This window comes from Homo sapiens, chromosome 5 (assembly GCF_000001405.40).
Source record: "Homo sapiens chromosome 5, GRCh38.p14 Primary Assembly".
NCBI classification, from domain to species: Eukaryota; Metazoa; Chordata; class Mammalia; order Primates; family Hominidae; genus Homo; species Homo sapiens.
Window position 1 is genome coordinate 176,799,728 of NC_000005.10, and position 26,648 is coordinate 176,826,375.

Below are 26,648 nucleotides of genomic sequence, written 5' to 3' on the forward strand. Positions count from 1 at the left end.
ACACACACGAGCACACACACATACAATGAGCATACACACACAACACACACACACTGCTTCTTCCTGAGCTGTTGCCCGTGACACGCACACTCAGCACACACTTAGAAGATCCCTGCACGCACACACCTGCATGGAGACGTGTGTCTCCTTCACAGCCATGAACAGCACACACACTCATCTCAAAAACAACTCTACACCCACACGCATGCACGGGTGGCCATGTGTGAAGACGGCTGTGTGGCTCCTCTATTCTCAAGAAACATAAGGCCAAGATGTCACATTAATAAAAAACATGGTGTCCTGGTAAAGGTATATTTGTTTATTTAAAAGCTTATTAAAATCTTAACCTAGTCTCCTCTTCACTAATGCAGTGTTACTGGAGTCTCTTGATGATTGTGTGGGAGGGTGAAGAAGAGAGTGTGTGTGTTTGCATATGTGTGAGAGAGACTTTCTATTCATTTGTGTGTGGGGTGTGCTAGTGCGTGGGCTGTGTCCAGGTGTGGCCTGTGTGTGTGTGTGTGCCTGGGAGCATGTGTATCCCCGCATGTGTGTGTACATGTCCAGGTGTGTGTGTGTGTATATGTGTGTGCACGCACGTATGACCCTGGGTGTGTTTGCGTGTGTGAATGTGTGTGTGTTCATGTTGGGTGTGGGGTGTGTGTGTGTCCAGATGTGACTTGTGTGTGCGTGTATGCATTCAGTCTGGGTGTGGGATGTGTATATCTGTGTGTGCATTTCTGGGTGTAGGGTGTGTGTATGTGCGTTCAGTCCAGGTGTGGGGTGCATGTATATGTGTGTGTGCATGTCTGGGTGTGGGGTGTGTGTGGGACTGTGTGAATGCCTTGGTGTGGAGTATGTGTATTTGTGTGTGCATGCACGTCTGGGTGTAGGGTGTGTGTGTATGTGTTCAGTCCAGGTGTGGGGTGCATGTATATGTGTGAGTGCATGTCTGGGTGTGGGGTGTGTGTGTGTATGCCTTGGTGTGGAATATGTGTATGTGTATGTGTGTGTCTGGGTGTGGGGTGTGTGTGTATGTGACTGTGTGAATGCCTTGGTGTGGAGTGTATTTGTGTGTGCATGTCTGGATGTGGGCTGCATGTATATGTGTGTGTGTTGGCTGTGTTTCTGTGTGTGTGCACATCCAGGTGTGGGCTGTGTATATGTGTGTGTGTGTGGCCTGTGTTTGTGTGTGTGCACATCCAGGTGTGGGCTGTGTGTTTCTGTGTGTGTGCACATCCAGATGTGGGTTGTGTATATGTGTGTGTGTGTTGCCTGTGTTTGTGTGTGTGCACATCCAGGTGTGGGCTGTGTGTATGTGTGTGTGCACATCCAGGTGTGGGCTGTGTGTGTGTGTGTGTGTGTGTGTGTTGCCTGTGTTTCTGTGTGTGCACATCCAGGTGTGGGCTGTGTATATGTGTGTGTGTTGCCTGTGTTTGTGTGTGTGCACATCCAGGTGTGGGCTGTGTGTATGTGTGTGTGTGTTGCCTGTGTTTGTGTGTGTGCACATCCAGGTGTGGGCTGTGTATATGTGTGTGTTTGTTGCCTGTGTTTGTGTGTGTGCACATCCAGGTGTGGGCTGTGTGTTTCTGTGTGTGCACATCCAGGTGTGGGCTGTGTATATGTGTGTGTGTTGCCTGTGTTTGTGTGTGTGCACATCCAGGTGTGGGCTGTGTGTATGTGTGTGTGCACATCCAGGTGTGGGCTGTGTGTGTGTGTGTGTGTGTGTTGCCTGTGTTTCTGTGTGTGCACATCCAGGTGTGGGCTGTGTATATGTGTGTGTGTTGCCTGTGTTTCTGTGTGTGCACATCCAGGTGTGGGCTGTGTGTTTCTGTGTGTGTGCACATCCAGATGTGGGCTGTGTATATGTGTGTGTGTGTGTTGTCTGTGTTTGTGTGTGTGCACATCCAGGTGTGGGCTGTGTGTATGTGTGTGTGTGTGTTGCCTGTGTTTCTGTGTGTGCACATCCAGGTGTGGGCTGTGTATATGTGTGTGTGTTGCCTGTGTTTCTGTGTGTGCACATCCAGGTGTGGGCTGTGTGTTTCTGTGTGTGTGCACATCCAGATGTGGGCTGTGTATATGTGTGTGTTTGTGTTGCCTGTGTTTGTGTGTGTGCACATCCAGGTGTGGGCTGTGTGTGTGTGTGTTGCCTGTGTTTCTGTGTGTGCACATCCAGGTGTGGAGTATTCGTTGTGCTCTTGTGCTTCTCAGGCCCTTTGAGTAGTAAGAGGTGCTTCTCAGCCTGTTTTCTACCATCGCCCCCGTAAGGAGCCTTTGTAGACTTTCCATCCCTGGTAGCCTACCTGAAATGTTAAGACCACAAATATGCTGTATATCTGGTTACGCACTGTATGTGCGTGTGTGTATATGTGTGTGTATATCTGTGCTTTAGAGACACAGAATTTTTTTTACCTGCCCTGGAATAACCAGCTTCTACCCTGCTCCTGGAGAAAGGAGACCCTCCCACAGACTGTTGAGAGTCCCTGCTGGGGAGCAAGGGTTTCTTTGTCTGGCCTCAGGGGTGTGACCACTCTCCTCCCACTCCTGGCCCATGTTGTGTGCAGTGGTTCCCAGTCTTTAGGGCCCAGCTGGAAATCTCTTAAAACACAGCTGTCTGGGCCCCACCTAAAGATCCTGTCAGTAGACCTGAAGAGGGGTCTGACCTCGGGGTTTCAGCAAGCTCCGAGGGGGTTCTGATACCCTGCCTGAAGTGGGGATCTGGGGCTGAAGGGGGTTTTGAATCATCGAGCAGTCATCTAGTCTGAGGGAAGAGGGTCCGCCTAGAGACCTGACCTGGTTCTAGAGAACTCAAGACCCAGCTGGCCAGTCCTCCCTATGCCAGCACTACCCCAGGGCTGCCCAAAGGTGGCTTGCGAGAGGCTGGTGGCTGGACCAGAACCCTTCCCACTGACTTAGAGCATGGAGGATGCAGTATGAGGGTGTGTTCTCAGGACCACGGTCATGCAGCGGGTGTCTGGGACAAACACTGCCCCAGAATGTCTGGAGTCCCATTTTCCACCTGTTTGATAAAGCCGCAGATGCCCCACACACAAACCTGGGCCTCCCTTCTGTGGGTCCCAACCTTCTCCAATAGACTGGAGCTCCCATACCAATCCCAGGGTGGGTCTGGTAAGCAAGGCAGAGGTAAACTTCTGCCTCCTCTCCCAGCTCTCGGTTCACTGAGTCAAAGCTTATCTCTGTCCTGCCTACTAGACCCACCCTGGGATTGGTATGGGAGCTCCAATCCCCATTGGAACCCCATCTGGAAGTTGCCAGAGACCTGGTAGCAAAATCAATCAAAACCAGAGAACCCCTACCTGGCCCAGCTTTCTTTGGATGCCAAAGAAAGCTGTGTCTCTTTGGAGGGCTGGGCCAGTGCCAAGCCCCAGTGCTGGGTGTCTGAGCGATCAGAACACAGGGGGCCAATTGATGCGGTGTGGGCAGAGCTCCAGCATGAGGCCGCAGGGGAGATGGGAGCCTGGAAGAGGGAGGGAGGGGCTGTGTGGTGGCCATGGAGCAGGGTAGAAGTGGCTCTGAGGCCGTGAGAGCACGAGAGAAGACCAGACAAGGGTGGATGAATGATGGAGATGGGCACAGAGATGGAGAAGAGTGGGGGTGGGGGATGCTGCGGTCTGGTGGGGAAGCAAGAAAGGCAGGCTTCTCCTTCTCTTAAGCTTTTAAAGGCATCAGAGCATCTTGCTAATTGTTCATCTCCCAGAGACGCTAATGAAATTAACTCTGCAAAATACTCATCAGGTCATCTGCAAAGGGCACGGTGCCAGGCTTCCACTTGGTCCAATCCCGTCCTTCTCCTCCTCCGCTCCTCCTGCCCCTTCCTGACAATCCTCCGCCCCCTCCTTTTCACATAGGCCCCTCAGCAGGGAACTGCTTACCTCCCAACCTGCCTGAGAGTGCCCAGCAGGAAAACTCGAAAAGGGGACTGTGTAGCCAGGGAGACCTCAGAGACAGATGTCACGGAGTTCACGGAGCTGGGAAAGGTTGTTTCTGGGTGTATGCGTGTGTGTGCGTGTGTGTGTGTGTGCGCGTGTGCGTGTGTGCGTGTGCGTGCATGTGTGTGTGCGCGCGTGTGTGTGTAACACATGCATCATAGGAGGATGTGTCTCTAATAAAACCATTTAGACTGAACATTCTTTCAATCACTCAGTAAACATTTCTGGAGCAGCTTCTAGGTTTAAATCCTTGTTCCATCTCTTACCAGCTGAGTGGCTTTTAGCAAGTTACAACCCCTCTCTGTGCCACAGTTTTTGTGTCTACATAATGGGTACAATAATCACATCTACTGCATAACGGGCTGTGAGAATTGAAGGAGATAAACCAGGTACAGAGTTTAGTCCTGTCCTGGGCACCTGGAGAGTTCTCAAGAAATGCTGGGTGCTGTCCTTGGTCCTGGAGGCTCCAAGGCAGTGACATCCCAGTTCTTGCGCCGAGGCACGGCCAGACCAGCCTTAAGGCCCAGGCATGAAGTGCTCAGTAGAACGGGGCAGCATGGAGAATGGGCATGTGAACAGTGTGTGCAGGAATGGAGTGGGGAGATATGGAAGTGTCTGTACATGTATGTAACTGCGAGGAACATGAGTGCCTGTACTGCGTGTCATCAGTTACCCAGTATGCACATGTGTGAGCTAGGTGTGGGAAGTGCATTTGTGTTGTGTTCGCTGTGGAGACTGAGCAGGTGCTGGCTTGCTGTGTGTGTGTGTTAGATTCAGAGCATAGGTGAGTGTTGGGGTTTGTGTGCAGAGGGGACAGGTCCAGATGTTGCCAGGGGTCCTTTGAAGGGGCTTATTTTTAGTTCTATCTCCTGTCTTATCCCTCACAAAGTAATCATTTCTTTTATGATCTGGCTCTCATTCCACCCCAGCTTACAACTGGGAGGACATTTGTATCTTCCCCAACATGCTGCAGGTTCCCCCGGTGGGTATCATTGAGCCTTACAAATAGTAGTCAGTCATAAATGCTCACCCTGTAGATTCTTAATAAAGGATAATTCTATATTATTTTTCTTTTTTCTTTCCCTTTTTTAGAGATAGCATCTTGTTCTGTCACCCAGGATAGTGTGCAGTGGCCTTATCATATCTCATTGCAGCCTCAAACTCCTAGGCTTGACCAGTCCTCCCCACTCAGACTTCCAAGTAGCTAGAAAACAGGCATATGCCACCATGCCTAGATCATTTAGAAAAATGTTTTAATACACAGGGTCTCTCTATGTTGCCCAAGCTGGCCTTGAACTCAGGGCCTCCAGCAATCCTCCCCCTTCAGCCTCCCAAAATGTTGTGATTACAGATGTGAGCTACAGCACCCAGCCCTGTATTTTGTTTTCAAATATAAATGACAAAAACCGCAAATGGGCTTAAACAGCTCAAAAGGGAATGCGTTGGCTGATCTAACTGAAGAATTCAGGGGTTTCAGCAGCCTCAGAAGCAGCTGAATCTGAGGGCTTGAACAATGAACTAGGATTCTGCAACCCTCTCTTCTCCAGGCTCTGCTCCTCTCCACCCCAGCTTCAATCTCAGGCATGCCCTTTTATTGTGGCAGTGCTGTCAAGATCAGGTCATTTCTTTGCAGCTTCAAGTACAGCAAGAAAAGAAATTCTTTCTCTCCTTAGTTCCAACAAAAGTCCCAGAAATGAGCCTCAATGGCCTGGCTTGGGTCATATGCCCATCTCTGAACCAATCATTGTGTTTCAGGGAATAGTGGATGCTGATTGGCCGGGCCTGGGCATTTGTTGTCTTTTGGAATTGGAGGGGGATAGTCCGACCTGAATCTTGTGTGCTGATGGTGGGGAGGGGTGATCCTTCCAAGGAAAGACAGAAGCTGGATGCTGAGCAGTGGGCAGATGTGAACACTTGGACCATAGCACGGACCATAAAGAGCCAATGTCTTGGCCAGGTGTGGTGGCTCATGCCTGTGATCCCAACACTTTGGGAGGCCGAGGCAGGCAGATGACTTGAGCTTAGGAGTTTAAGACCAGCCTGGGCAACATGGTGAAACCCCTTCTCTACCAAAAAAAAAAAAAAATGCTGGGCATGGTGACAAGGGCCTGTAGTTCCAGCTACTTGGGAGACTGAGGTGGGATCACTTGAGCCTGGGAGGCAGAGGTTGCAGTAAGCCAAGACAGTGCCACTGCACTCCAGCCTGGGTGACAGAGCCAGACCCAATCTCAAAAAGAAAGAAAGAAAGAAAGAAAGAAAGAAAGAAAGAAAGAAAGAAAGAAAGAAAGAAAGAAAGAAAGAAAGAAAGAAGGAAGGAAGGAAGGAAGGAAGGAAGGAAGGAAGGAAGGAGGAAGGAAGGAAGGAAGGAAGGAAGGAAGGAAGGAAAGAAGGAAAGAAAGAAAGAAAGAAAGAAAGAGAGAGAGAGAAAATCCAATGTCTTGCTTAAGGGTCTCCAAGAGCATGTCCTGCTTGCTGAACTAATTTCCTGATCAATTGGGTTATTTGTCTGGTAGATTGGAGCAAACCTGGAAGCTCATGATTCTAGGGCTCTGCTAAGTCTTTCCATTTATTTTTGTGGGTGCAGCAGTGAGATGTGAGCTGAATGATGGTGTGGTCAGAGGCTTCCTGAGTGGACAAAGGAGCAGCTGGTTTATTGCCCTAGTGCAATATGCAAGTTGATCTCGAGTTGGGAGCCTCTGGACCCTGTCCTTGGTCCTGCCTGCAGCAACCTGTTTAGTTAGGACTTGGTTGAAAGTATATGTGACTTCCTAATGTCATCTGGGAATGACAGAAGCAGAAGAAAATAGCAAATACCCTCCCTGACAGCACCCACATCCTGAGAGGGCTCCATATGGGAAAGAGGGATTAGATGTAATACGATGGAAAATAATTGGGATGAATTTAAGTGTCTGCATTTAATTGCAGAAAACCAGCGACCTAAAGGGTAGGTGAGGAACACCCAGTTGTTGATAGTACCTAGGCAAAGACCTAGGACAATGTCCATCAAAGTGTGATCCGTCTTCAGACCACTGGCAGCAGCAGAAACATCTTGTAGGTTTTACAGGGCACAGTAAAAGCAGATTCCTAGACCCCTCCCCAGACATCCTGGATCAAAATTAGGATAGGCAGGACATGGAAATTTATACTCCAAGCAACTCATAGGAACTTCGGTGCATGTCCAAGTCAGTGATGGCCTCAGCACAGGGTCTGAGCTCCCCAGGTCCAGGGGATATTAGCAGTGCGATATCACTGACCAACAGCTGATTAGGACTCCTCTTGTGTATCAGGCCATGATGGCAGAACACCTGCCAACCCCTTCAGGAGATGCCTTCAGGAAGCAGCCTCACCACGGAACACCTACAGGGTGTCTGGGTGGCGAGACAGGGGCCCAGAGCCCTGCTGCCATGCCAGCATCTGAAGCAGAACTGTTTGCCCTGAAAATTCATGATAGACCAAGACTTCATCTTCTGAAGAAAAATTTGCCTGAGTAACAGAAGCAAAGGAGGCTGGAGCTCTCAGGAGTCCTCTTCCCATCTGGCCATCCTACCTTAGGGTCTGAGACAAACCCTTTCCTGGCAGCCCTTCACCCTGGATTCTTAAGAAGAGTTCCAGTGAGACACCTACTCCCCCTCTCTACAAGGGCACCCCTCCTCCTTCTCCTGACATGACTCTGAGCATCACTTGGAAGGGAACAGTTCAGCTGAGGCCCGGGTGACTAAAAGGAACCAGCCACGTGAAGATCTGGGGACAGAGTATTCTAGGAAGAAAGGCAAATGGGAAGGCCTGGAGGTGGGATGAGCTTGGATGCTGGAGAAACAAAGTGAGGGGTTGAGGGGCCTTATGGCTAGGGCCTAGGCAGAGTTGAAGAGGAAGGCAGGGGCCAGATTCTGCTGGGACCACAGGCTGTGCAGGCACTCATGCTACTCTCCACATATTTCAGCTCTGCCTTCCAGGCACGAGGTGGGATTATACTTCCTGGCCCTCTTGGGTGGGACTGTGGGGCCAGTTCTGGCCAATGGATTGTGACCAGACATGATCCATTGTGTCTGGGCTGAGCGATTGATGGCTGGTGGGTGCACCTCTGGAATGGCTGCTGTCAGGCTGGGTCCTCAAGTGAGGGTGACCTGGAGTCATAGACCCATGATGGACAAATGAGAAACAAACCTTTGTTGATTTAAGTCACTGAGATTTGGGGACTATTTGTTACGACATCCCCTAATCTATCCTGACTCTTACATAGACCATTCCATTCTGGCTGAAGAGAGAGGGGCAAGAAGAGAAGTGAACAAAGCAGCCAACTGAGCAGAAAAGACCCTTCCTTTCCTGTATCTCAAACCTCATTTCCCAAATTCAAATCCCAGAGTAGAAACTGTAGCAGGAGAAAAGATGAGGACACGGACGTTGAAACCAAACCTCCCAAGGATGCATCTTAGCTAACCCTGCAGTCTATTGGATAAGGTTGGCCCTGAGCAATCAGGCACTTCCTCTCCCTACGCCTCAGCTACTGCATCTGCATAATGGGAATAATAATGTTTCTTTAACAGGACTGCATGTGAGGATCAAGCCAAATTATAAATGTATGCAAGGACATAGTGGTGTCCAGCATACTTTTTTTTTTTTTTTTTTTGAGACGGAGTCTTGCTTTGTCGCCCAGGCTGGAGTGCAGTGGCATGATCTTGGCTCACTGCAACGTCCGCCTCCCAGGTTAAAGCAATTCTCCCTGGCTCAGCCTCCTGAGTATCTGGGATTACAGGTGCCCACCACCACATCTGGCTGTGTGTGTGTGTGTGTGTGTGTGTGTGTGTGTGTGTGTGTGTATTTTTAGTAGAGATGGTGTTTCGCCATGTTGGCCAGGCTGGTCTCAAACCCCTGACCTCAAGCGATCCACCCACCTCAGCCTCCCAAAGTGCTGGGATTACGGTGTGACCCACCACACCCGGCCATCCCTTTAGACAGAGCATACACTATTATAATGTCATCTTATACCCCAGCCCTCAATCCTCTTCCTTCATCCTCAGCCACCAGCCTCCAGTGCCCAATCCCCAGTGGGCCCCAAGGGCAGATCCTGCCACTGACTCTCCTCTCCCACCCACCTCTTTCCTGCAGAGGCTGAAGAGGGGTGTTATGGTGCCAACAGGAGCAGCCTGGGCACACACTGCTCCTACACACACACACACACACACACACACACACACACACGAGACATGTGAGTTGATCAGGCCCTGACACCGTGTACATTCAAACTGCCCCGAAAGCAAAGTTCCCAAACCAGAAGGTGGTGAACACTTTCCCCTGGGCTCACATGAAGTCTAAAAAATTATTTTTTACTAGTTAAAAATTTTAAATCAGAATATTTCACATACGACGGCTTCTGTTGAAAATTTGGAAGATGCGGCTATACTGTGCCCCGGTCCCCTCCCCCGACAACCAGCACCTGGAGCAGAAAAGGCAGCTGCCCCTTGAGATGGGATCCTTGTGCCTGTCCCCAGCACTGCCCTTTGCCTCCCTGGCGATGGAGCCCAGCGTCTGTATGGTTGCCTCTGGAGCTTTAGCTGGTGTTTTTTATAGTAGACTTAAGAGGAAAGCAAAACATTTTTCATAACCCTTCTCTATCAAAAGTGGGAAACAAAAGACAGACCGAGAGAGGGCCTCGTGTCTCAAGAAATATAGGAGAGCTCATATCTCTTTGTGGAAGCAAGACCATCCCTTACATCGCCTAGCCTGCAGCGCCAATTTATATTATCGACCGGCCCCGTAGGCGTTTGAGTTTGCGACCCTGCCCTCACCCTGCTCATTCCCCTCCCGACCCAGACTAGGACCCTCTCTTTTTCCGATCACTCCCCCCAGGCACACCGCACGCGGCTGTCATTTCCTTTCTCCTTCAAGGCAGCCCTCTGTTTATTTTAACCCGATTAGGGAATGGGGGTGGGGCACAGGAGACTCCAGCAGCGGTCACTGCTGGAGGCTCCAGGAGACGACGTGACTTGACCAAGGTCACAGAGCTGGAAGGTGAAGTCGCCTGGACCCTACCCCCGGTCTCCCTAGCTGCCAAAGCCCAGCTCGTTCCTTTACACCCACGTCGCGGGCGCCGTGCGCTCTCGGGGCTCAAACACCGCGCGCCCAGTCGGGTGTGCTGCGCCTGAAGGTTGTTTTCCTTCGGCGAACGGCGCCGAGGGGTTAGGGAAACCTTGGGTCATGGTGTGAGGCGCGCCCCTGGAATCCACCAGCCTGCGAGGCTGGGACTGCGGGTGTCCCCGAGTCTGGCCTGCCAGCTCTGGTGGCCAGGGCACCTCTGCGCGCGGGCCAGGGCCCCGGGGCTCTCCCGCAGTCCCCTAACCAAGCCGCGGGCTGGCAGCGTACCGCGGCGCCCGGACGACCCCGGAGCGCGGCCGCGAGGAAAGGGCGGGGGAGAGGACTGCAGCGGAACCTGCCCGGGGCACCCCTGCCCTGGGCGGCTCTCCGCAGGCTGGCGCCGCGCCGGGGTCGCCGCAGCCCCGGGCCCCTCCCGGGCCACCTGTGCGCAGACTGGCGGGCCCGCGAGAGCCCGGATCCGGAGCACCGATCCACTCCGGGTTTCAGACTCCTGCCCCTGTCCCTGGAGACCCCGCGGGGCGGTGGGAGGCCTCCACGCCCACCACCCCAAGCCCCTCCCTGGGGGAGCCTCAGGCATCGCCCAGAGGGATTCCCGGTGCTGGGGGTGGCCCGCGCGCGCTGCGCGGGGCGGCCCGGCCCCTCCTTCCTTCCCCCGCCCCTCCCAGCCGCCGCCCCGCTCCGTCGCTCCAGTCCGGGTTTTGCGGCGCCCACCGGCCCGCTCTCCGGCTGCGGGCTCCGCGGCGCGGCTGGCTCGGTGCGCGGCGCGGCTGGCGCTGCGCTCCGCCCCGGCTGCATTGCTGCGCTCCCGTGCCCAAGGGAGCCACGCGCCGCGTGCGCCCGGCAGCCGGCCGCCCGGAGGCAGCGCAGTCCGCTGGCATGGGCCCCGGGGGCGCCCCGAGCTGGGGCTCCGGGCTGAGGCGCTAAAGCCGCCCTCCCGCCCGCGGGGCCCCGCGCCCGGCCCGCCCGCCTGCCCGCCCGCGGCCATGGCCGTCCGGCCCGGCCTGTGGCCAGCGCTCCTGGGCATAGTCCTCGCCGCTTGGCTCCGCGGCTCGGGTGAGTCACGCCGCGCGCGCTCTGGGGAGGCTTGCGGGGGACCGTGCGCGCGAACGCTCGCTGCTCTGGGGGTCCCTGACCAGCGCTGCCAGACCCGGCTGGGAGCCCCCCGAGGCCAAACTTTGCGAGGCGGGACGCGGGGGGCTCTTCTTGCTGCTGCGCAGCTTCCCCGCGCGCTCTCCCGGAAGCCTGGGTTCTGCCAAGTCCAGGAGCAGCTGTCAGCCCGCGGGGCTGGCGAGTGTAGACACCCCACGCCTCCGGGTGGGGGAAGTTTGCTGGTTGCCTGGGCCCGGAGCAGGGCTGGGGGTTTGGATCAACCCCAGGGAGCCTGACTTTGAGGATTCGAAGATTAGAGGGTTTTGAGCCTATCCCAGTGCCCAGGAAATGGGGGGTGCGGGGAACGTTTAAGATACCTCTTCCCGGTAGCATCTGCCCTAAACAGCCACTCACAATCTCCCAGCTTGGCACCTGGCCTCTGCCCACGTCCAGAACACAGTGTCCTCCTCTGTCCCCGCCACACACGCTCTCACACGCACACACTCAGGCGTGGAGGCGCATACACCAGCCCCCAGTCCTTGCAGCCAGCACAGTCAAAGCGCCGCGGTCCCGGTGGCCGGGGCTGTGGCTCCTGGCCTCCCTGGTGCGGGGGGCCAGAGTTGTGTGTGGTTGGTCCGCCAGTTTCCCCTTCTTCCTTAAACTCCATAGCCTTTCTTGGCCCCTGCATGCCCCATTGGTCACCCTAACCCACTGCTAACTCAGCCCTCAGCCCACCTCATTCCCTTGGGAGGGGCTTGGGGGGAGGAAGTTCCCCTGCATCCTTTGTCTGCTGTCCCTGAGCCTTCACCTAGGCTGAGCTGTGGGGGCCTCCTGATCTCTGCCCCCCATGCACTTAGCTGAGTTGAGCGTATGTGTCTGTGGTGGTGGGGGGTGGGTGCCATTTGTGTGGTCAAGGGGGCTTGAGGCTTACCCTGGCAATTCTCGATTCTTGCTGCCCCTAGAACCTGGGCGGTTACTCCCCAGCCTGGCCAGGCCGCTGCTTATAACAGGGGTGTTGGAAGGGAGCACTGGGGTTTCTGAGCTGCCAAACCAGATTGATCAGAGATCAATGAGTGGGAGCTCAGGAGCCAGCCTGATGATTGAGGCCGATGGCTGTTTCCTTAAAGGGTGTCTCTGCGCAGCGCATCCTGCACCCACCACTGCCTGACCGCCCGCCCCATCCTGCCTCCTCAGTACCCCTCTCTACTCCATCCCACCCCTTCTATCTCCCTTCTCCATCAGCACCCCTCTTCTTCCCCAGGGCCTCTCCTTCTAATCCTGACCAAGCTGAGAGGCTGAACTGCTGTTGGGTGTGTGTCCGTGTCCGCCACATGTGTGTGTTAGGGGCGTGTGTGCAGCTCCGCAGATGAGCACCCGGGTGCAGGTTGCACTGTTGTCCATGATGAGGTGGGGATATTAGTGCCCCACACACAGGTGGGGTGTTGCCTGACACCCAGTAGGTACCCTGGAAATGTTTTCTGAGTTGATGCTTTTGAGGGCTGTGTGGTCATAGCTGCATGTCGCCCACGTGAGCACGTGTGAAGGCTGTGGGTTGACATGTGTGCCCGGGTAACCAGGGGGGTTGGCATGGTGTGTGCAGCATTGGCATGTGTGTGCCCTGATGAACGTGTGTGATGACCAGCATGCCGCACGTGTGTGACGGCTGTGTGCAGTTGCACAGGTGAGCGTGTACAGATAAGGGGGCACAGGTACCGGTGAAGCAGGGTGCTGCGGCCTGGAGCGGGGGGTTGCCACAGGGACTCCTCAGGAGGCTGTGGGGGTGGGGAAACTGCATCCCTGGTTGGCAGGGCATCTGTTGAGGCCTGGCCCAAGGTTGCCCAGGGAGTCGGCAGGTGGGCACAGGTGCTGCAGGGGCTGACGCAGAGCCTGCCCCAAGGCATCAACTCTGCCCCTGGGCCTGCGGGAGGAGCTGCTGAAGGCCATGGGGTGGGGAGGGGCTGGCCCTACTTCTTTGGGACTCCCTTCCCCCTGTGCCCCACAGGCACTGGGCACATGTGGACGCCCAGGCAGGCTGGCCCTGCCGTGACCCGGGCTCCTCCCGCGCTGCCTTTTGCCTCCGTTGCAACAGCCTCCGGTGAAAAATGTGTCTGTGAGCCGCTGAGGGAGGGATGGCCAGCGGGCAGCAGGGGGCGCCGGGGGCCAGCGCGACTGACTGCAGCCGCTTGCTCCCCAGGCCACGCGCCCACCCTCTGTTGCTGGACATCACACAAAAGCCTGTCCCTTCAGCATGCTCGCACCTGCAGGCCCTCTCTGTGCCCGCGCACGCAAGCACCCATCTGTCTCACAGGATTTTCCCTCTCAAACCCCGTCACGCAGCTGGCATGCAAACCCCCACCCTGCCCCTGTGGTCTCCCTGTCACCCAGACCTCTGCAGTCTTGAGCAGGAGGGACTTGGGAGCTGGCTCCCTTGAAGATGGGGCTGAGGGGTGCCATGCTCTGGCATTGCTGCATTGCCCAACCTGACCCCAACCATCTAGCCTGGCTCCTCCTTCTCAGACCCCATCCCCATACTTAGGGCTAACCTAGGACTCGTCTGTCCACCCCGACACTTGGGAGAATGCAGCTGGCTGAGGGGGTCTTAATCCTCCAGGGCTAGGAGATACCCTGTTCCTGCTCGCCCTGCCTTGCAGGTGGGGTGGCCTGGGCTTTGGGGCCCCTAGGTCCTCCCAGGGGAGAGCTGGTCCTCTTGCTGCCTGCCTGCTCCCCACTTGCCTGTGTTGGGAGGGGGGGCTTCTCTCAGGAACCAGGGATAGGCATTGATCCAGGTACCAAGCCCACACCAGAAGTCACGGCCCTCGTTCCCAGGAGCAGCCAACTTTGGCCTCAGCCAAGGGCCAGAGAGCCCCTGTCCTCACGACCCTTCTTCCTGCCTAGTGCTGCTCTGGGCCCAGACCCGCAGGCTGGAGCTCCGAGGCTTCACAAGGCAGGAGCCTGCCCTGAGCTTGGGGTGGGGCTCCCCTGCTCTAGTGCTGGGCCTAGCTGCCACTTGGGAATCTGTGTGTCCACGCATATGCATGCGGGGCCTCCTGTTCTAGGCCACCCCTCTCCCAATGCCCCCTCCTCCCAAGGGCCCTGCCGTCCCCTCCTCCTATTCTCCCAGCCTGGGGCTGGAAGCCTTAGCGTCTCCCTTGCTTCTCCCTTCTCTCTCACGCTTCACATCTAATATGTCACCAAGTCCTCCAGCTCGGGCCTACTTGTGGCATTGCTCATGTCTCTCGACTTCTTTGTCTTCCTCCACTCCTTTCTCCCTCACCTGCAGCAGCCACCACCACCCATCCCCCTCGGGCCTCCTCCACTCAGACTAAGGCATCCCCTGGCATCCAGGCTGGAAATCTGCTAGAAAGCTTTCGGTGACTCCCAGTGCCTGCAGGTCAACCCAAACCTTGAGCCCCCTTGGGCCCTTAGGAAAATACCTTCCTCCCTCGTCATCGCCCCACATCAGCTCTGGGCTGGTCTATCTGGAGGTCGGGTGCCCTCCCTGGCTCTGACTGCTGGTGGGGTGGGCACCCCCAGGCAAGCTCCGGCTTCCAGACTGTAGCTCCTTTGCCTTGCAAAGCGTGGTGCCACTGACCCCGCCAGCATGCTCCCCACCCAACACCCCAACGTTGGCTCTGTCCAGACCTGGGACACACCCCTTTGCTGCTGCCAATCCCTGCACTGTGAAACCCGCAGCTTCAGTCCAGCCCCTCCCAAAGGCCTCCCACCTCCTCCCCTGCAAAGGGGTCCTGGCATACTGATGTGCTTTGGGTGGGCTAAAGAAAGACTGAGGTATTGAGTCCTCAGCCCTGGGGCTGCCAGAAGCCTCTGACCTGAGCCTCCTCCTTCTCCTCCAGTGCCTCCCTCAGGTATTGCCATTGTTTATGGCGCGGTGACCCTGTTCTCTGGCCCAACTTGCTCTGAGTCACTGCCAGCCAGGTGCTGTTTTTCTTCATTTCTCCATTTTGAGTTTGGGCTCTCTTTGCAGGCAGGGAGGGCTGCTATTGCTGGGGACAGGGAGAGATGTTTGCTCTGCCCCTCTCAGCAACCATCCCATCCCTGTCCCTGAACACGGACTGCCATGCTCCAGGGAAGCTGGAAACGGCCTCCTGTCCAGGGTGGGGACCAGGAAAACTAGGCCCCATCCTGGGGTGGAGGATGCTGTGCCCCAGCCACGTGTATGGACAGCAAACCAGCTCACATTGGTGCATGCTTGTGGGCCACTCACGCAAGTTGTATGCCCATGTCTGTTGAGTAGGAACCCCCATCCCCACCCTGGCATGGATTTTCCCAGAGTGAATGTTTTCTTGAGCAAATGGTGTCATTCACAGAGTCACGTCAAGACGTGGGCTGCTCTGCACAGCTCCTACGTGGGGTGGGACTCCTGGTTCCTGAGGCTGAGCCCCAGGGCCCAACCACGCTCAGACAGGAGCTCAGCTTCCTGCAATCAGTTCCACCAGCCCACCCCTTCGTTCCTTGTCTGCTCCTGTGGGAGTGGCATTGAAGGGTCCTCCTGCCTTCTGGGGAGTCTCACCCCGTATTCTTGCCAGGTGAAGCAGAAAGGACAGGCTAAGCTTTGGAGGCAGTCAGGGTCAACTTCCAACCCAAGCCTCGTGTCCTTGGACAAGCAACTTGCAGTCCCCAGCCTGTTTCCACATTGATAGAATGGGTCATGCTTGCTTTCTGGGGTTATAGTAACAGATTGATGGGCAATGTGGAGAGGGCACTCAGGGTGAACCCCGACACCTAGTAGGTGCCATAGCTTGTCTGTCTCCTTCCTCTGTGTTCCTTCGCATTTGTGGGGGGATGGCATGAGTTAGGACAGAGGTGGGGACTTAAGCCGCATCAGGGCCCGAGCCCAGACACAGGAGAAAAATGCATCTCAGTGTGAGCTGCTTCATTTCCCACTGACCCAGGCCCAGGCAGGGGCCCCTTCTGGTTGGAAGAAGCATCCCCCCTCCCCCGCCATTGACACATACACCACCCACTGCAGGGACTTGGGCCTGATTCAGACTCATTGCTTCCAATGCACAAGGGGCAATTGTTTGGAGGTTCTGAAGATGAAGATTTGGGCTCAGCTTTTCATGCAACTGTGTGTTGATGATCATCTCTGACTCTCAGGACATGGCACAGAGTGGGGCAGGAGCCCTGAGCAGAACGAAATTCTAGTCCTCTCTCTGCTATTTGATTGCTGTGTGATCTTTTAGACAAATCATTTAACCTCTCTGGGCTGTTTGCCTCTCTGTATACTAAAGGGTGTAGTATACCCAATGATGCCTATATTGGAGCCTGGGGTGGACTCTGCACTCAGCAGCAGGCTCCCCCAGGAACTGCTCACACCTGCCCAGCACCTGCCACAGACATCAGCTGCCCTGGCAGGGGCTGCCTGCATCGCTGGAGAGCCAGGTGGCTGCTGGGGCAGAGCCAAAAGTGGTTGGGAGGCAGAACTGGGGACTGAGTCCCAACCCCTAGGCCAGGAATTGAGGGCCCACTTCTGCTGGCAAATAACTCCTATGTCAGAAACAGGCCTTCTCAGGGCGTCCAGAAGGTCAGGGTCCCAGTGCCCAAGGCCCACCCCCTTCCTGGGCACTGATGTCAGGTGCGACAGGCAGCTTCAGACCCCAGGGGCCCAGAACCCCAGGCACATGGAGGAGGTAGTGAAATGGGTGAGTTGGCAAGCTCTGTGGCTGGGTTTGGACCAGTACTAGGGTGAGGCCAGGCAGGTGCCTAGGCACAAAGGTAGGGCCAGCCCCCAAGAGTGCACGCCTCCTGGCCCTGCATCCAGCTCCTCCCTGCATGGCTTCAGTTTCCTTGTCTGTACAACTGACTCAAAAAGAACCCACCTCCTAGGATTTTGTGCAGATTAGACGGGCTGAAGTGTGTCAGTGCTGGCACATAGTGGGCACTCAATACACGTTAGCAATGATGATGCCATGGCAGAGGGCACTGTTCAGTCCTCTCCTTCGGGAAGTGGGGGAGTCCTTGGCTGTCTTTGTGGAAGACGGAGCGACTGGGGAGCCAGGAGGGAGGGAAAAGGCCTGAGGTGAGCTTCCCATTCTGGGCTGGGGACAGGCCTGGCTTCCTTTCTGTTTCTTGTCATGCAAGGGCAGGTGGTCCTTGACTGGCCCTCCCAGCCCTGTTTGAAGTGGGAGAGGGGGAGCCACACAGAGCTCTGGGAAGTCTGAGTGGCAGCTGCTCAGCCCCAGAGTAACTGGGGAAGGGGAAGTTTTAGGTAGCATTTTGATGGGGGAGGGGCCATGAGGCCCCTGCTTCTGTGCTGTGGTGGGAGCGCCAAGGGCCAGCCGTCACCCTGACTGGTGGGGCCCCCAGAGCCGGGCCTCTCCCACACTGGGATATCAGAGCTGTGTCCGTCTGGAAGGCTCAGGGTCACCTTGAGCTCCAGGCAAATATGTAGCTGAGATGGGGAGGGGGTGGGGGGAAGGCCGGGGGAATCTGTCTAGATTGACAGCACCTGAAGCGCCTTGGGGAGGGAGGTCCGGACCCTGCATCCCACCTCGGCCCTAGGTGTCCCCAGCCAGGGCGGCAGGTGGAACTCCCGCGCCCCAGGCCAGCAGGTCCACTGGAGAGGCTGTGGGGGTCTACGGGAGTACTCCCTGAATTAGACTCTACCCCTCCTAATCGGGGCAGGGACCCAGTGGAGCCGAGGGGCCAGTGGTTTTTCCCAGCTCTGCATCTTTCCAGCACCGCCCCCCACCCCGCCCCTCCCCACCCCCGCCCAAACAAATGTGCCCGTCACTGGCGGGTAGCAGCCCCTCCTCAGCGCGTGTCTCTGGCTTCGCCAGTCCCCGCCCCGCTGTCTAGGTAGCTTGGTACGCGAGGGCCCTTAGGCCGGCGGATCTGCGGGGCACGTGAGCTGCCGTGGAGCGCGGGTGCCCGAGCCCACGGCAGCCGGGGCAGAGGGGCTTCGCCATTCGCCGCGGCGCCCGTCGGGCGGGGCTGCGGGAGGCTCGCGCCCGGGGACGTCCAGGCCGGGGGTGGGTGCCGCGGGGCAGCCGGGCGCGGGGTAATTAACGCGCTGCAAACTCCGGCGGCCAAGCCGGGAAGGGGCGGGATGCCTCCGCCCGCCAGCCCGCCCGCGGCCGCCCGCCGGATTAGCGGCTCTTTGTTCGGGGCCTGTTAACAAGTTCCTGGCTGAGCGCTCGGCTGCCGCCCCGGGAGCGGGCGTCCAGCCTCCGGGCACCGCCGCGCGGCCGCCTCCGCCCCGCCTCCGTGCTGTAGCCCAGCTGCAGCCCCTGCCCCTGCCCGCCCTTCCCGGGCCCCCTGAGAAGTGGGTGGGCGCAGGGCTTCTCAGGCGATCTTGTGCCTGGGGCTTCCGAAGACCCCGGGCTGATCTCGCTGCGAAAGGGAGGGGAACGTCCCCATAACCCGAGCACCTCCTGCAGGCCGGGGCTTCCGATGCACCCGTGTCGCCATTCCCGTTTTACAGATGAGGCCGAGCACCGACTTGCCCCAGGTCCCGGCTGTCCTCTGCAGGCTGGGGCTCCACTCCAGCCCCTGACACCCAAATTCATTCTCCTTCTGCTAAGAGGAGAGACCGTGTGGCGGGAAGAGGAGGAGCCCCTGGGGGCTATAGACTGTTACGTTTTTTATTCTTTATTAACTTGGTGATGGTAGTAATCTGGGCTCCGCCTACATCATCTGATCAAAACCTCAGGACAACCTACAGGTGGGTGAGGTTAGCCCCATGCGTCAGATGAGGACACATATCAGGGGAGGTCACACCGCAGGAAGTGGCAGAGCTGGGACCTTATTGGGCAGCTACTACTCTGCCCGATCTCCCCCACCACACACCACACCCACCTTGTGGGCTCTCCTATGTGGCTATTTACTGCCAGGGCCTCTCTGGTATCCTATGGACTTGATGGGAGAATGTCCAGAGACCCTGATTCTCTGTGTGGCCTCAAGTGAACTCCCTCACAGCCTGAAGCCCATTCCCCATCCCCATGCTGCCTCCTGACCCCACCTAGTGTGCTTCCAGCCTGAGAATGGCTGTCCAGGCCACCAGACGTTGATTATTAACTTCCTCTTGTGGTGTTGGCTTTCCTCACCCGTAGCCCTGAGCTTTAAGCCAAAGGGACTTGCCCGGGCCACACTTCTTCAGGCGACTGGGACTGTTCAAAACCACTTTCTTATAATGAAGGGGACTCTTTCCCAGTAAGCTCCCCAAATGGTTCTGGGCCCTTCCTTCTGGGGCCGCACAGGTTGGGGGAGCCCCTTTCAGTTGGTTAAGACAGGGCTCCCACCTGGCCACACCTGCCCCTTTCCTGGCCAGCCCTCCCCAGCCCTCTCAGCTGCTCCTCATGAGCATTGCCCCAAGCCTGAATCCCAACCCCCCACATCTTTGTTACCTGTCTGTGGGTGGTGGCCCAATTGTCACAGCCTCCTCAGCCCTGGGAGCTCACCACACTGTGCCACAATGCCCCAGCTTGAAGTGACATGGGACACTAAGTGTATCTGTTGCAAATATTAGAACCCAACTCACACTGGCTTAAGGAAAAAAAAGGAAAACGAAGAAGAAGGAGACCATAATGGCACATGGAACTGAACTCAGGGGTGGCTGTGGCTTCAGGCATGGTTGTATCCAGGGAGAACAGTATGGCCAAGATCCTTCCCTCATCTCTGCTCTTGGGGATTCGGCACCACTCTCCAACAGCCTCTTCCCTCTATCCCAAGGTGGCTGCCAGGAGCTTCCGGGACTACATCCTTACAGGTCCAGGCCCAGGCTCCGCACGGGATAGGGGAGAAGAGCACATCTCTGCCCTCCACCACCCAACAAATGTCCAAGTCTTCCATCATTGGTCCACCTCCAGTGCCCTGCCCAGTTGTGTGAGCCAATCACCATAGACAAGGGTAGGATTATGCAGATTAGGTTGGGCCGGAGCCACCAAGGCCATTGTCCTGTTGTTACCCAGGCTATTTGCTACTCCTCTCAGCTTCTTGTCCACCAAGAAGGGTGGGCACAATCATCCTCAGATGTCATCAGCACATTTTGCCAGGTATTAAATAAGCATGCTGAATAGCACCAGGCACAGCCTGTGGCTCAGAAGTAAAGCGGGATCTGGATCAACACTATTTTATTGGCAGCATTAGAAAACACAGCTGGCCAGGCCGGGCGCGGTGGCTCACGCCTATAATCCCAGCACTTTGGGAGGCCGAGGCGGGCGGATCACGAGGTCAGGAGATCGAGACCATCCTGGCTAACACGGTGAAACCTCGTCTCTACTAAAAATACAAAATGTTGGGCCGGGCACGGTGGCTCATGCCTGTAATCCCAGCATTTTGGGAGGCCGAGGCGGGTGGATCACGAGGTCAGGAAATCGAGACCATCCTGGCTAACATGGTGAAACCACGTCTCTACTAAAAATACAAAAAATTAGCCAGGCGTGGTGGCGGGCACCTGTAGTCCCAGCTACTTGGGAGGCTGAGGCAGGAGAATGGCATGAACCTGGGAGGTGGAGCTTGCAGTGAGCCAAGATTGCACCACTGTACTCCAGCCTGGGTGAGAGAGTGAGACTCCGTCTCAAAAAAAAAAGAAAAGAAAGAAAGAAAAAAATAGAAAACAAGGCTGGCCATTCAGCAGGTTTTGCCTGCCCTTCATTGTGCTGTCATCTGCTCATATATCTGCATTTGGCCATCTAAGATATGTTATCCGGTGCCTGGCTGGAATCCAGACACGCCATGTTTCTAGTCCATCCTTAATCTACCGTGGGACAGTAACCCCATAATAAGGGAAGCTGGTCTGGCGTGACTGGTCCATGGGGATCCCAGCAGGCCTCTCACGGTCCCTCCTTCCTTTGGTCATCTGCAGCTGATTGAGAAGCTCTTCTAGAACCGTGCCTGGAGTTTGCATAAGGCTCATTGGGCTGTGGCACCTCCAGTGGATGTTTGTTAGGTTTTGTATCTGGTCCAGCTTTCATCCCAGTCTTAGTGGGGTATTTTGGGGGGCCCTTCATCCCAGCAGCAGGGCCCAGGTGAGCTAGGTAAGTATTTCTCTTGACCTGGTTCTTTTCCAGCTGCAGAGCCTGCTCTTTAAGCTTCTGTTCCTTCTCTCAACAACCCAGTCTTCCGCCAGTGCTTCTTCTTTCCTAAATTTGTGAGAATTGTTTTTTTCTTGCTTGCCTTCAAAGAACCCTAAGTGATACATTCACCAAACCAAACTTGCTTCCTTATGATGACTAGACTACAGCTCCTGCCCCACAGCCACCAGCATGCCACTTTCTCAGATGTCAGCAGCAGGGCTCAGCTCTTCTGGGCTCCTTCCTCCAAGCCCCGCCCCTGCCCTGTGTTTCTCTGGCATTGCCCACAAGCCTCACGCCGCTGCACCTGTGCTCTGCTTCCGAGCGTGGTTCCTCCATCCATGCCTCTCACCTGTGGCTTGTCCTTGGTTTCGGGCCATCTTTCTATGTTGGGCATGTCTGGTCAGAGTCTGAGCCTGCCTACCTGGATATCTTGTAGTTGCCCTGGCACTTTTCTAGGGACCTTCCTTCTCCAGTTCCTTTAGGATCACACAACCAGAGGTCCATTTTTGAGACCCACTTGGTCTCAAGACCTCTTTCCTTTCAGACCCCTGGCTCCACTGGAGGCCCGTCTTTGGTGTGAATTCCTGAAGTCCACCACCCAAATGCCAGGACGCCTTGAGAGTGGTCAGCATTCTGCCTCCTCCCACAACAGTGTGGTGTCCTGTCGAATGGTTAACAGTTGGCTCTTCAGGCAGGCTGGGGAACTAATTTGCCAATTTCCATGGTGTAAATACTCCCACCACAGCCTATATCAAGCTACCAATGTGATGTCAACTGGCTTAAAAATTCTAGAAATTGTAGTGATTGGCTGTCCTGAGCCAGGACGAGCTGGCCGCATACACCACTGCTCCTGACCAAGGTCACTCCCAGCCCCCTCTGAAGTGACCGCAGGCAGGGAGTGGACAAAGGCATCTCAGGCCTTCCCCTGCAGGACCTATTGACTTCCCAGGCTGAGAGGGGCAGCTTACCTCCTGGACACCAGACTCTGGTTAGGCCTTCCCCTGCAGGACTAATTGACTTCCCAGGCTGGAAGGGACAGCTTCCCTCCTGGACTTTAGACTCTGGTAGGTCGAAAGGTAGAGAGTCAGCTAGGACCTGGGAGGACTGTGCTTAAGAGCCAGGGCTCTGATGTGGATTAGAATCCTGAACTGGGTGAACTTGGGCAGGTTATTTAAGCTCTCTGTGCCTCAGTTTGCTCACCTGGAAAATGCAGACAATGAAAGGTTCCTACCTCATAGGGCTGCAAGGATTAAACGAGTCATTCTGTGTGGTGCATGCAGCCTGATGCCGGCTCACAGTAAATGCTCTGCAGGTGCGAGCTGTGTGGCCCGCGGGGCGGGGGATGCTCACTTTTGGCCCCCCTCTGTGACACGCCCTGGAAGTATTTGTGTGGAGGGGTGTGCGGAGCAGGATCTGCGGTTGATAAAACTGGCAGCAGCAGGTATCAAGGGCAGGGCCTGCAGGCCTGGAATCTGAGCAGGATCTTCGATTGATGAAACTAGCAGCAGTGGGCGTCAAGGGCAGGGCCTGCAGGCCTGGAATCTTGGGAAGGTGTTCATTCTTGGATAATGAGCATTCATGAGGGGGCCTGAGAAGGAAGGTTGGCGTGGTGAAGGGTGAGTCACCAGAGTGACTTGGCTGAGTAGGACTCCTGACACCTGAGAGCCCGGGTGTGTCTCCAGGACATGCAGAGCAGAGAGGTGGCAGAGGCCACAGCCACATTTGAGAGCCCAGACAGGCCCAACAAGGACAGCCCACCTGCTGGCCTCAGGCCAACCTGTGACTTCAGAGCTGGTCCCTGGGCACCCCCTGCCTCTGCCCCAGAGTTCTGGGAACCCTGAGGCCAGAACAGGAGAGGGACTCAGGCTGGGACCTTGGCATGTGGTGGGATTTGGCCAGACAATGAGGGGAGGAGAAGGAGTGGACAGGCAATCCCAGTGGCAGCCTGTGTACAGGGCAGCCGGGAGGCGTGCAGCCCCGCTGGAGCAGACGGTGCCTGTGGGGTGCCAGCAAGCGACAGGGCTGTGACCACATCTCTGAGCTGGGGAGTGACAGGCAGTGAGCAGTGTTTAAGGAAGATTAATCTGGCAGCCCATGGAGGATGGATAGGAGCAGGGAGAGGCTGGAGGCAAGGAGACCAGCCGGGAGGCTGCCGTGGTCATCCAGGCAAGAAATGACGAGGCGTCCCTCCCTGATGGCGGGCAGACAGCAGGGATGGAGTAAGAGAGATGGATGTGGGAGACGCTGCAAAGGGGGAGATGTTGCATCTGGATGCTGCATGTGGGGGGGCGAGGGAGGGGGAGGAGGCAAACATGATTCAGAGCTCTGGAGCCTGGGGAAGTGATGTCAGAAACAGAAAATAGATGGGGAGCTGGGTTGGGGGAGAAGCTGAAAGAGCAAGAGGCTCCGCCCAGGGAGCTCCACCCTGCCAGGCTATGTGCAGAGTGTGGACAGGGCGCCTGGGTCACAAGCAACAGAAACTGGCTCTGGTCACGTGAAGCCAAGGGAGCGGAACAGCGTTTCCGGGTCAGGCAGGCACTGGGGGCGAAGGGCAGACTTAAAGCCAGCCGTGGCCCAGGAGAGACGTCCAACAGGTCCTGGTGGTGCTGGGGCCATCCGGTTTCCTTTAGGGCACTGAAAGCCGTCCGGGAAAGGTGGATTTACTTGGTTCTGTGAAGCCCTACGGGGTAGGTCGGTATCAGCAGGGAGAGACACAGGGAGGCTGAGGGAGACCCTCCCAGCAAGCAGAGGCTCGGAGGTCTGGGCACGATGAGAGCCTCCACAGGGGGGCTCTATGGGACAGTCAGGGAGACCCTGGACAGGGGCAGGTGGCCTCGGTGAGTCTCGGTGGGAAAAGGGAAAGGACGGCTGGATACTGACTTGGACTCCTCTCAGCTCCACCCTATTTGGTCTTGAGAAGTTTCTTACCCTTTGAGAACTGGGCTTTCTGGACGGATGGCTCCATCTCGAGGGGGTTGGTAGTTTCTCTGCCGCCCATTGTTTTAACTGCTGAAATACTTTCTCAGGGCACAGCACCTCCACCCTCCTTTGGCGACCTCCCGCCATGGGGCCCTGGTGGGACTGTCAGTTATGAGAACCCAGCCTCTCCCTGGAGAAAGCACCTGTCCCAGCTGGCGAATGGTCCCGGAGATCCTGGGCACATGATTGGGCCAGGCTGGCCACATGGCCTGGGTTGAGCCAGTCAGGATCCTTGCCAGGGCTTCTCCCGCCTGGAGGCGGAGGTGCGGCCCCGATGCCTCCCGGGTTGGAGGCAGCAATGATGCAGGTTCCGACACTGGCCCAGGACTATTTCCCCCATGTGTGGAAAGCGGCCGTGGGGCTGAGGCGGGTGAGGCCAGCGCACAGGGAGATCAGGGACAAGCGGAGGGAGGAGGCTGTCCCAGTGGCCCCGAGGCCCTGAGGCTCTGGTCCCTGCAGCTTTTCTCAGTCCTGTGAGCTGCTGTTAACAGCCTTCCTGGCCCTAGATCCACAAACTTCCCGCTTTAACGCCCGTGTGAGTTGGGTTTCTGTGTCCTGCACCTGAAAGGGGCCTGACCGAGGATCTTAGGAGAAAGATGATGATGTGAGCAAAGCGCCCACCCAGAGGTAGCAAGGTGGCAGCAGGCAGGGCATTTAGCCCCCACGCGGCAGATAGAACATTCTAAAAAAAAAAGAGAGAAAGAGAGAGAATTCACATAAAAATCCAAATGTCAGGCTTCTCTTGAAAAAGCAAAAGATCTGGGCTGGGCCCAGCAAGCCCATTTTCCTGGGTGGCTGGGGCTGGAACCTGGATGCCACTTTGGCAGATGAACACCCCCTACTGCTAGGTGCCTCCATGCCCATGCACCCCCAGTGCCTGTGCACTCCCTGCCCTGTGCACCCCCACCACCTGTGTGCCCCCTGCTCTGTGTACCCCCTACCTTGTGTACTCTCTGTCCCAGGCACTCTCACCACTCCGTATCCCCCACCCCATGCACCCCCAGTGCCTGCGCACTGCCCTCTCTTTGCCACTCACCCCCGCTCCCGTGCACACCAAGGCTGCGTCTCCCCACCCTGTGCACAGTGCTTGGTGGGTGTCAGGTACTGAGGCCATGGGCAGGGCCATCCCTCTCCTTCCCTCCCTCCCAGCTCTTGGAGTCTGCATTTGGGGCCTTAGATTTCGCCTGTTCAGTTTGAAGTGGTGGAGGATAGTCAGGTGGAAACATCTAAAAGATAATTGGAAACTGGGAGTGGCACTTTCAGATGCAATAAGGGTGGGAAGTGGAGTTGAGAGACCCTTTCATAAGGAGCTGATCACCGACATGCATGAGCTCGAATCCCATTCAAAGAGGATGATTAGGGAATGGCCATGGCTGGGGTGGAAAGGAGGATTCAGGGGACAATTTTGAGGAAGCCAAAAGGGGGCCCGGGAGAGAGCAGTAGGGGCCCAGGAGTGTGTGTAAGGTTTTGAGCAGGAGGGGAGGCAGCCTTGAGGAAGGCTTTGGCGAAGGACCCGCCGATGAGGCCTGGAGGACACGCTGGGAGGAGGCAGGGAGAGCGGCCGGAGGACGCTGTGCTCAGAAGCAGCAGGAGTGAACTGGGACAGTGTGAACAGTGTAGACAGACAGGACACAGAGGCCATTTGGAATCTGCAGAGCATGGAAGGATACCAGGTAGAAAAGGCACAGGATGCAGTGAAGGTTTCAGGGAGAAACTTGGGAAAGGGGGGCGAGGGCAGGACAAGCATACTTGCTGAGCACTGGCGATGTACTTGCACGAAAGCTCTCGATGGGTAGCTCAGAGGTGAGTGACGTGCCCACATCCCACAGCTACCATGGCAGAGCTAGGTGCCAGCCCCAGCTCCATGGCAGCAAAATGGGCAGAAGGTCCAGAGCCTCATAAAGCTTTTAAGAGAAGCAGAGGGGATGGGCTGAGGGACAAAGCTAGGTGACAATGGCACCTGAGCCATTAAATAAACATTTATTGAGCACCTGCTGGCGCCAGGCCCGGCGTCAGGTGCCACAGATGAGCATGAGGGCCGTGTGACCATGAGGGAGCTGGAAGCAGGGGCATGCTGGGTAGCCAGTGAGACAGGACAGTCCTGGAAGAGGTGACACTTGAACTGAGACCTGAATGACAGAAGGAGCAGGCTGCGGGTGCAGCAAAGGGCCTACTCTGGTCTGGTCACAGGGAATGTGGAGCTGGGTGAGGAGAGGTGTGATGACTTGTGTCTGTGTTCATTTATACATGCATAGAAGCCACCTCTGCTTCCAGAGACGCACAGCAGGAGGGGCTGAGGGCACATTTGCTAGGGTTAGCTGGTCGGAGGGGGCCTGGCTCCCAGACCTGCTCTGCTGCTACAGCACAAGCCCAGGCCAGATACACTCTTCTGCCCCATCTATGAAATGGGAAGAATGACTGGGCCTGGGCTATCATGGAGCGGATCCTGAGGCCTGGGACAGGGGCAAGGGTAGAAGCCATGGGAGGGCGCAGGGAGCAGGCC

General features: G+C 56.4%; 1 protein-coding gene across 5 annotated transcripts in view, besides 3 other annotated features; it reads left to right on the plus strand.

The window, feature by feature from the left end:
- Positions 6,548–6,748: a silencer, noted in NCBI's record as "peak5589 fragment used in MPRA reporter construct". NCBI's record gives its function as "represses an SCP1 promoter by STARR-seq MPRAs in K562 erythroleukemia cells {active_cell/tissue: K562}" and the evidence as "EXISTENCE:reporter gene assay evidence [ECO:0000049][PMID:32103011]".
- Positions 10,832–26,648, plus strand: part of UNC5A (unc-5 netrin receptor A) — a 70,340-nt gene continuing 54,523 nt past the window's right edge. For all 5 annotated transcript variants that reach the window (XM_006714928.2, NM_133369.3, XM_011534686.2 and 2 more), the window contains exon 1: positions 10,832–11,093. In XM_006714928.2, coding sequence (XP_006714991.1) covers positions 11,024–11,093 — 70 coding nt within the window. In that variant the 5' untranslated portion in view covers positions 10,832–11,023. The remainder of the gene's footprint in view (positions 11,094–26,648) is intronic.
- Positions 18,461–18,520: a silencer, noted in NCBI's record as "silent region_16665". NCBI's record gives its function as "represses an Ori minimal core promoter by ATAC-STARR-seq in GM12878 lymphoblastoid cells {active_cell/tissue: GM12878}" and the evidence as "EXISTENCE:reporter gene assay evidence [ECO:0000049][PMID:35858748]".
- Positions 19,021–19,190: an enhancer, noted in NCBI's record as "active region_23691". NCBI's record gives its function as "activates an Ori minimal core promoter by ATAC-STARR-seq in GM12878 lymphoblastoid cells {active_cell/tissue: GM12878}" and the evidence as "EXISTENCE:reporter gene assay evidence [ECO:0000049][PMID:35858748]".